Genomic DNA, 10,415 nt, shown 5'->3' on the forward strand with positions numbered 1-10,415 from the left:
AGGCCAAGCACATTGCAAGGTGTCAGGCATCCCTCTGACATTTCAGTTGAATATAAATTTGGAGCTGAATCTTTATCAAAGGTAAATATGTACACACAGTAATGCTTTCATAAGAGAAAATCTCAGGTAAGCACCCTATGTAATGAAGACAGTAACTTATTAACACATAGCTCAGCTATCGATTGCTGTGTTGTAAGCCATCTCAAAGCACAGTAGCTATGTGATTTATTACTTGTCATGGTTCTGCGGTTGATGGAGCTCCACTGGGAGGAGCTTCTGCTCCACGTTGGGTGGCTGAGATCACTCATGCGACTGCATTCAGCCGGCAATTTGGCTGGAGCTGGGATGTCCAAATGGCCTCTCATCCTCCAGGATCTCCTTGCACTTGGCTTTTCACCCTTCAGCGGTTCCTATGGTTTGGATGTCCCACCCAAGTCTCATGGTAAACTCTAATCCCCAATGCTAGAGATGAGGTCTGGTGAGAAGTGTTTAGATCATGGGGGCAGATTCCTTGTGAATGTCTTGGGCCATCCCATCCCCTTGGTGATAAGCAAACTCTCACTCTAAGTTCTTGTGAGATCTGGTCATTTAAAAGTGTATGGCACACCACCCCCTGACCATGCTCCTGCTTTTGGCTTTTGCCATATGATGAGCAAGCTCCCATTTCACCTTCCACCATGAGTAAAGGCTCCCCAAGGCCTCCCCAGAAGCTGAGCAATGTTGGCACCATGCTTGTACAGCCTGCAGAACCATAAGTTGATTAAACCTCTTTTCTTTATGAATTACCAAATTTCAAGTATTTCTTTACTGCAATACAAGAACAGCCTAATACAGTGGTCTAGCTCCAAGGAACATTTGAAGAGGACAAGCCCCCATGTGAAAGTGTGTATTAAGCCTCTGCTTGCACCACACTAGCTAATGTCCCATTGGCCAAAGCAAGCCACATGGCCAAGGCCAGAGTCAAGAGCTTGAACACATAATACATAAGGGCATGACAACCAGTAAGTGTATTTCCCTGAGGCCATCAAAGTATAAAACTGCCACATCATGGTTTTTCTCTGTTTTACTTGAAAGGATGATAAAATTACTAGGAGGGAGCAAGTGAAACACTGAAATAGTGCCAGAGGAGACTACACAAGAAATTCCTCTAACTTTAAAAATCAGCCTCCTGCTGGATGCAGTGGTGGGCACCTGTCATCCCAGCTACTCAGGAGGCTGAGGTGGGAGGATCACATGAGCCCAGGAGTTCAAGACTAGCTTGGGCAACATAGCAAAACCCCATCTCTAAAAAAAAAAAAAAACCATCCTCTCCAAATCTTTTTCTTTTTCTTTTTTTTCTTTGAGACAGAGTCTTCCTCTGTTGCCCAGGCTGGAGTGCAATGGCGTGATCTCGGCTCACTGCAAGCTCCGCCTCCTGGGTTTCACGCCATTCTCCATGTTAGCCAGCATGGTCTCGATCTCCTGACCTCGTGGTCCGCCCACCTCGGCCTCCCAAAGTGCTGGGATTACAGGCATGAGCCACTGTGCCTGGCCCCATCCTTTCCAAATCTTAAGAGTGCAGCTGAACAATGTTGATTACAAAGGGGTGAAATGTGTAAACTTGTTGGTAAAGCTCATTTACTGACAAGCTTTACCAATAAGCTTTACCAAAGGGCAGCACACTTTTAGAAAATGTCAGTTTGTTCAGCTAATGGAAAACAAGCTTTACCATATGGATGGGTCCTTTTGACTCTCCTTGCCCAGGGTTCTTAGGGGAATCTCTGCTGTGGGCCCAGATGTCTCTGCAGGCCATCAGATTGAAGCAGGGGGATGAGTGTGACCACATGGATGGTATGATGCCAGCCTTCACCACTACCAAAGGGCCTGAGTCTCAGTGACACTAGGTAGATCAAAATGAGGAACGATTCCATCAAAAAATAAAGAATTCAAATTCAAAAGACAACTCTGTGCAGAGGATGAATAATTAATTAGGTAAGGGATGGTAGCAAGAAAATTGGGATTTTGTGGATAAATTGAACTGTTTACATGGAAAAACAAAACAGACCAACCATATCGACAGACTCACTGAATCTCGACCAGCTGGAAGCAGGCATATTGGTTGCTAATATGGAAAACTATTCTGACAGTTAAAAAAATTAATGACAGTTAAAAGGATGAATGCTGAAAGAACTGCTTAAACCCTCAAATAATGAACAATATCAAGAAGAAAAGGCAAAAAGAGGATAGTAGTGAAAACAAAATACAGAAGACTTACTTCAAAAGGAGGAGCAGAGCAAGATGGCTGAATAGAAGACTCCACCAATTGTCTTGACTGCAAGGGCAGCAATTGAACAACTGTCTACTCACAAAAAGCACCTTCATAAGAATAAAAAATCAGGTGAGCACTGGTTTTAACTTTATCTAGCTGAAAGAGGCATTGAAGAAGGTAGGAAAGACACTCTTGATTTGCTGACACCACCCCTCCCCCGCCCCCTGGCAGTAGCAGCATGGCACAGAGAGAGAATCTGTGCACTTGGGAGAGGGAAAGTGCAGTAATTGTGAGACTTGCATTGAACTTAGTGCTGCCTTGTCATGGCAGAAAGCAAAACCAGGCTGAACTCAGCTGACACGTACCCACAGAGGGAGCATTTAGACCAGCTCTAGCTAGAGGGTTATTCCTCATCCCAGAAGATGGAACTTGAGCTGTGGCAAGCCTTGCCACCCCAGGCTAAAGTGCTCTGGGGCCCTAAATAAACTTGAAAGGCAGTCTAGGCCACAAAGACTGCAACACATAGGCAAGTCCTAGTGCTGAACTGGGCCCAGAGCCAGTGGACTTGGGGGGCACACAACCTACTGAGATACCAGATGGGGTGGGTAAGGGAGTGCTTGTGCAACCCCCTCAATCCTAGGCTGCTCATCTTACTGCTCCAAAAGAGACCTCTTCCTTCCACTTGAGGAGAGAAGAGGAAAGAGTGGGGAGGACTTTGTCTTGCAACTTGGATACCAGCTCAGCCACTGTAGGAAAGGGCACCAGTCAGAGTCATGAGGCCTCTTTCCCAAGCCCTAGCTCCCAGATGCCATTTCTTTTTTTTTTTTTCTTTCTTTTTTTTTTTTTTTTTGAGACGGAGTCTCACTCTGTCGCCCAGGCTGGAGTGCAGTGGCGCCATCTCGGCTCACTGCAAGCTCTGCCTCCTGGGTTCACACCATTCTCCTGCCTCAGCCTCTCAAGTAGCTGGGAATACAGGTGCCTGCCACCATGCCCAGCTAATTTTTTGTATTTTGTTTAGTACAGACAGGGTTTCACCGTGTTAGCCAGGATGGTCTCGATCTCCTGACCTCGTGATCCGCCCACCTCGGCCTCCCAAAGTGCTGGGATTACAGGTGTGAGCCACCGCGCCCGGCCCCAGATGCCATTTCTAGACACATCCTGGGCCAGAAGAGAACCTGCTGCCTTGAAGGAAAGGAACCAGTCCTGGCAGGACCCGTCACCTGCTGACTAAAGAGCCCTTGGGTCTTGAATAACCAGAAATGATAACCAGATAATACGCCCTGGGCCTTGGGTGAGACTCTGAGTCTTACTGGCTTCAGGTGAGACTCAGCATATTCCCAGCTGTGGTGACTATGGGGAGAGACTCCTTCTGCTCAAGAAAAGTGAAGGGAAAAGCAAAGGGAACTTTGTCTCGCACCTTAGGTAGCAGCTCGGCCACAGTGGGATAGAGCACAAAGTGGGCTCTTGTGGTTCTCGATTCCAGGACGTGGCAATTAGACAGCATTTCTGGACCTGCCCTGGGCTAGAGGGGAGCCCACTCCCTTGAAGGGTGTATCTCAGGCCAGGCAGCATTCACCACAAGCTGACTGAAGAGCACTTGGGCCTAAAGGGAACTTCAGCAGTAGTCTGGCAGCACTCCCCTCTGGGCTTAAGGTGGCAGTAGCCATAGGATGAGAACTCCTCTGCCTTTGGAAAGGGGAGGGAAGAGTGGGAAAACCTGCGTCTTCTGGTTTGAGTGCCAGCTCAACCACAGTACAACAGAACACCAGGTAGACATCTAAGGTTTTTTACTCTAGTTCCCTGATTCTAGGATAAAACCTCTGGACCTACTCGGCCTGGGGGAACCTGCCACCCCAAAGGGAAGTACATAAGTCTGGCTGGCTTTGCCACCTACTGAATGTAGAGCTCCAGGGCTTTGAGTGAACATAGGCAGTAGTCAGGGAGTGGTTACAGCAGGCCTTGGGTGAGACCCAGTGCTGTGCTGGCTTCAGGTCTGACCCAGCACAGTCCCAGTGGTGGTGGCCACAGGAGTGCTTGTGTCACCCCACCCCAAGCTCCATGCAGTTCACAACAGAGAGAGACTTTATTTGTTTGGAAGAAAATAAGGGGAGAAAACAAGGGTCTTTGCCTGATAATCTAGAGAATTCTTCTGGATCATATCCAAGACCATCAAGGTGGTACCTCTACGTGTCTGTAATAATCAGACCATTTCTGGGCTAGAGGTGCCCCCTAATGCAGCTACGGCTTAGATCACAACACCTAAGTATTTTTGAATATCTGGAAAGCCTTTCCAAGAAGGACTGGTACAAGCAAGCCCAGGCTATGAAGACTACAATAAATACCTAACTCTTCAGTGCCCAGACACAGACAAACATCCACAAGCATCAAGACTATCCAGTAAAACTAAATAAAGCACCAGGGACAAATCCTGGAGAAAAAGAGATATGTGACCTTTCAGACAGAGAATTCCAAACAACTGTGTTAAGGAAACTCAGAGAAATTCAAGATAATACAGAGAAGGGATTCAGAATGTTATCAAATAAATTTAACAAAGAGATTAGTAATTTTTAAAAAATAAAGCAGAAGGCCAGATGCGGCAGCTCATGCCTGTAATCCCAGCACGTTGGGAGGCCGAGGCGGGTGGATCAAGAGGTCAAGAGATTGAGACCGTCCTGGCCAACATAATGAAACCCTGTCTTTACTAAAAATGTAAAAATTAACTGGGCATGGTGGCGCCCACCTGTAGGCCCAAGCTACTCAGGAGGCTGAGACAGGAGAATCACTTGAACCCGAGAGGCAGAGGTTGCAGTGAGCTGAGATGGCACTGCACTCCAGCCTGGCAACAGAGTGAGACTCCATCTGAAAAATAAAATAAAATAAAATAAAAAATAAAGCAGAAATTCTACAGTTGGAAAATGCAATTGACATACTGAAGAATGCATCAGAGTCTTTTAATATCAGATTGATCAAGCAGAAGAAAGAGTTAGTGAGCTTGACAGACTATTTGAAAGAAGATTTTGTCACAGGAGACAAAAGAAAAAGCAATAAAAAGCAATGAAGCCCACCTACATGATCTAGAAAATAGCCTCAAAAGGGCAGATCTAAAAGTTTCTCCTTTACAGAGGAGGTAGAGAAAGAGAGAGATGGGGGTAGAAAGTTTATTCAAAGGGATAATAACAGAGAACTTCCCAAACCTAGAGAAAGATATCAATATCCAATTATAAGATGGTTATAGAACACCAAGCAGATTTAATCCAAAGAAGACTATCTCAAGGGGTTTAATAATCAAACTACCAAAGGTCAAGGATAAAGAAAGGATCCTAAAAGCAGCAAGAGAAAAGAGACAAATAATATATGGAGCTCCAACACGGATGGCAGTAGACTTTTCAGTGAAAACCTTACTAACCAGGAGAGAGTGGCATGACATATTTAAAGTGCTGAACGAAAAAAGCCTTTACCCTAGAATAGTATATCCAGTGCAAATATCCTTCAAACATGAGAGTCAAATAAAGACTTTCCCAGACAAAAGCTGAGGGATTTCATCAACACCAGCTCTGTCCTGCAAGAAATATTAAATGGAGAACTTCAATTAGAAAGAAAAGAATATTAATAAGCAATAAGAAGTCATCTGAAGGTACAAAACTCACTGGTAATAGTAAGTATACAGAAAAACACAGAGTATTATCACAGTAAACTACTCAAGTAGAAAGACTAAATGATTAATCAAAAATAATAACTGCAACAAATTTTAAAGACACAGACAATACAATAATATATAAGTAGAAACAACAAAAAGCTACAAAGCGAGGTGGGAGGACAAAGTTAAGGTGTAGAATTTTTATTAGTTTTCTTTTGCTTGTCTGTTTGTTTGTTTATGCAAACAAAGTTAAGTCATTAAAATAAAGGGTTATAGGACAGTATTTGCAAGCCTCATAGTAACCTCAAGTCAAAAAACAAACAACAAATACATAAAAAATAAAAAACAAGAAATTAAATCATACCACTAGAGAAAATCACCTTCACTAAAAGGAAGACTGGAAAAAAGGAAGAGAAGACCACAAAACAACCAGACAACAAACAATAAAATGACAGGAGTGAGGGCTTACTTATCAACAACAACACTGAATGTAAATGGGCCAAATTTGCCAATCAAAATATGCAGAGTGACTGAATGGGGGGAAAAAAAGACCCAATGATCTGTTGCTGACAGGAAACGTACTTCATCTGTAAAGACACACATAAACTGAAGACAAAGGGCCAGAAAAAATTCCATACCAATGGAAACCAAAAAAGAGCAGGAGTAGCTATACTTACATCAGACAAAATAAATTTCAAGATGAAAACTATAAGAAGAAACCAAGAAGGTCATTATATAATGATAAAGTGGTCTATTCAGCAAGAGGATATAATAATTTTAAATATATGCCCTCTCCCTCTCCCTCTCCCTCTCCCTCTCCCTCTCTTTCCGCGGTCTCCCTCTGATGCCGAGCCAAGGCTGGACTGTACTGCTGCCATCTCAGCTCACTGCAACCTCCCTGCCTGATTCTCCTGCCTCAGCCTGCCGAGTGCCTGCGATTGCAGGCGGCGCCACCACGCCTGACTGGTTTTCGTCTTTTTTCGGTGGAGACGGGGTTTCGCTGTGTTGGCTGGGCTGGTCTCCAGCTCCTAACCGCGAGTGATCCGCCAGCCTCGGCCTCCCGAGGTGCCGGAATTGCAGACGGAGTCTCGTTCACTCAGTGCTCAATGTTGCCCAGGCTGGAGTGCAGTGGCGTGATCTCGGCTAGCTACAACCTCCACCTCCCAGCCGCCTGCCTTGGCCTCCCAAAGTGCCGAGATTGCAGCCTCTGCCCGGCTGCCACCCCATCTGGGAAGTGAGGAGCGTCTCTGCCTGGCCACCCATCGTCTGGGATGAGAGGAGTCCCTCTGCCCGGCTGCCCAGTCTGGGAAGTGAGGAGCGCCTCTTCCCGGCCACCATTCCGTCTAGGAAGTGAGGAGCGTCTCTGCCCGGCCGCCCATCGTCTGAGATGTGGGGAGCGCCTCTGCCCGGCGGCGACCCCGTCTGGGAGGTGAGGAGCGTCTCTGCCCGGCCGCCCCGTCTGAGAAGTGAGGAGCCCCTCCGCCCGGCTGCCACCCCATCTGGGAAGTGAGGAGCGTCTCCGCCCGGCAGCCACCCTGTCCGGGAGGGAGGTGGGGGGTCGGCCCCCGCCCGGCCGGCCGCTCCGTCCGGGAGGGAGGTGGGGGGCGCCTCCGCCCGGCCGCTGCCCCGTCCCGGAGGTGGAGGGCGCCTCTGCCCGGCCGCCCCTTCTGGGAAGTGAGGAGCCCCTCTTCCCGGCCACCACCCCATCTGGGAGGTGTACCAACAGCTCATTGAGAACTGGCCATGATGACGATGGCGGTTTTGTGGAATAGAAAAGGGGGAAAGGTGGGGAAAAGATAGAGAAATCAGATTGTTGCTGTGTCTGTGTAGAAAGAAGTAGACATGGGAGACTTCATTTTGTTCTGTACTAAGAAAAATTCTTCTGCCTTGGGATGCTGTTGATCTATGACCTTACCCCCAACCCTGTGCTCTCTGAAACATGTGCTGTGTCCACTCAGGGTTAAATGGATTAAGGGCGGTGCAAGATGTGCTTTGTTAAACAGGTGCTTGAAGGCAGCATGCTCGTTAAGAGTCATCACCACTCCCTAATCTCAAGTACCCAGGGACACAAACACTGCGGAGGGCCGCAGGGTCCTCTGCCTAGGAAAACCAGAGACCTTTGTTCACTTGTTTGTATGCTGACATTCCCTCCACTGTTGTCCTGTGACCCTGCCAAATCCCCCTCTGCAAGAAACACCCAAGAATGATCAATGAAAAAAATAAAAATAAAAAAATAATTAAAAAAAATAAAAAATAAAAAATAAAAATAAATAAGATTAAAAAAAGAAAAAAATAGAAATAAAAATAAATATATGTACAATCAACACTGGAGCACCCAGATATATAAAGTGAATATTTTTAAAGCTAAAGGGAGAGATAGACTCCAATATAATAATGGCTGGAGACTTCAACACCCTACTTTCAGCATTGGGCAGATCTTCTAGATAGAAAATCAGCAAAGAAACATTGGACTTAATCTGCACTATAGACCCAATGGACCTAATTTATATTTACAGAACATTTCCACTAACAGCTACAGAATACACATTCTTTTCCTCAGCACATGGATCATTGTCAAGGAGAGACCATATGTTAGGTCATAAAACAAGTCTTAAAACATTGAAATAAAATCAAGCATCTTCTCTGATCACAATGGAATAAAACTAGAAGTCAATAACAAGAGGAATCTTAGAAACTATACAAACACATGGAAATTAAACACCATGCTCCTGAATGACCAGTGGGTCAATGAAGAGATTAAGAAGGAAAATTCAAAATTTCTTGAAACAAATTATAATGGAAACACAACACGCCAAAATATGTGATATATATGAAAAGCAGTTCTAAGATGAAAGTTTATAGCTATAAGTGCCTATATCAAAAAAGAAGAACTTTAAATAAACAACCTTATGATAGATGTTAAAGAACTAGAAAAGCAAGAGCAAACAAAATCCAAAATTAGGAGAAGATAGAAAATAATAAATATCAGAGCATAAATAAATGAATTTAAAATGAAGAAAACAGCACAAAATATCAGTGAAACAAAAAGTTGTGTTTTTTTGCAAAGATAAACAAAATTGGCAAACATTTTGTCAGACTAAGAAAAAAAGAGAGGACCCAAATAAATTAAATCAGAGATGAAAAAGGAGACATTACAACTGATACCCCAGAAATTCAAAGGGTCATTAGTGGCTACTGTGAGCAACGATATGCCAATAAATTGGAAAATCTAGAAGAAATGGATAAATTCCTAGACACGTACAGCCTACCAAGATTGAACAATGAAGAAATCCAAAATTTGAACCGACCAATAACAAGTAATAAGATCAAAGCCATAATAAAAAGTCTCCCAGCAAAGGAAAGCCCGGAACCCGGGGGCTTCACTGCTGAATTCTACCAAACATTTAAAGAACTACTACCAATCCTACTCAAATTATTTCAAAAAGTAGAACAGGAGGGAATACTTCCAAACTTATTCTACGAGGCCAATATTACTCTAATACTAGAACCAGACAAAGACACATCAGAAAAAGAAAACTATGGGCCAATATCACTGATGAATATAATTGCAAAAATCCTCAACAAGATAGCAAACTGAATTCAACAACACATTAAAAAGATGATTCATCATGACCAGGTGGGTTTCATTCTAGTGATGCAAGAATGGTTCAACATATGCAAATCAATCAATGTGATATAGCATATCAACAGAATGAAGTGTAAAAACCATGAGATCATTTCAATTGATGCTGATAAATCAATTAATAATAAGTCATTATATCAATTGATGTTGATAAAATCGAACATCCCTTCATGATAAAAATCCTCAAAAATCTGGGTATAGAAGGAGCATACCCCAACATGATAAAAACCATATATGACCGACCAACAACTAGTGCCATACACAATGGGGAAAAACTGAAAGCCTTTCTTTTTGATCTGGAACGTGACAAGGATGCCCACTGTCACCACTGTTATTCAGCGTAGTACTGGAAGTCCTAGCTGGAACAATCAGACAAGAGAAAGAAATAAAGAGCACACAAATTGGAGAAGAATAAGTCAAAATATCCTTGTTTGCAGATGATATGATCTTATATTTAGAAAAACCTAAAGACTCGACCAAAAAACTATCAGAACTCATAAATAAATTCAGTAAAGTTGCAAGATACAAAATCAACATAGAAAAATTAGTAGCATTTGTAAATGCCAAAAGTAAACAATCTGAAAAAGAAATCAAGAAAGTAATCCCATTTATAACAGCTACAAATAAAATAAAATACCTAGGAATTAACCAAAGAAGTCAAAGATACCTACAATAAAAACTGTAAAACACTAATGCAAGAAATTGAAGAGGACACCAAAAACTAGAAAGAGATTCCATGTTCATGGATTAGAAGAATTAATATTGTTAAAATGTCCATACTACCCAAAACAATCTACAGATTCAATGGAATCCCTATCAAAATATCAAGGACGTTCTTCACAGAAATAGAAGAAAAACAGTCCTAAAATGTATATGGAATCACAAAA

At 43.4% G+C, this 10,415-nt stretch overlaps 2 annotated features.

Annotated features, from left to right (window-relative positions):
- Positions 1–295: a silencer, noted in NCBI's record as "tiled region #11075; K562 Repressive non-DNase unmatched - State 8:EnhW". NCBI's record gives its function as "represses a minimal TATA promoter and a strong SV40 promoter by Sharpr-MPRA in K562 cells {active_cell/tissue: K562}" and the evidence as "EXISTENCE:reporter gene assay evidence [ECO:0000049][PMID:27701403]".
- Positions 6,719–7,434: an enhancer, noted in NCBI's record as "H3K27ac hESC enhancer chr2:54925567-54926282 (GRCh37/hg19 assembly coordinates)". NCBI's record gives its function as "activates a minimal SCP1, AML or CMV promoter by ChIP-STARR-seq in naive H9 embryonic stem cells {active_cell/tissue: H9 hESC(naive)}" and the evidence as "EXISTENCE:reporter gene assay evidence [ECO:0000049][PMID:30033119]".

The sequence above is a fragment of the Homo sapiens genome, chromosome 2 (genome assembly GCF_000001405.40).
Source record: "Homo sapiens chromosome 2, GRCh38.p14 Primary Assembly".
In the NCBI taxonomy this organism is placed as follows: domain Eukaryota; kingdom Metazoa; phylum Chordata; class Mammalia; order Primates; family Hominidae; genus Homo; species Homo sapiens.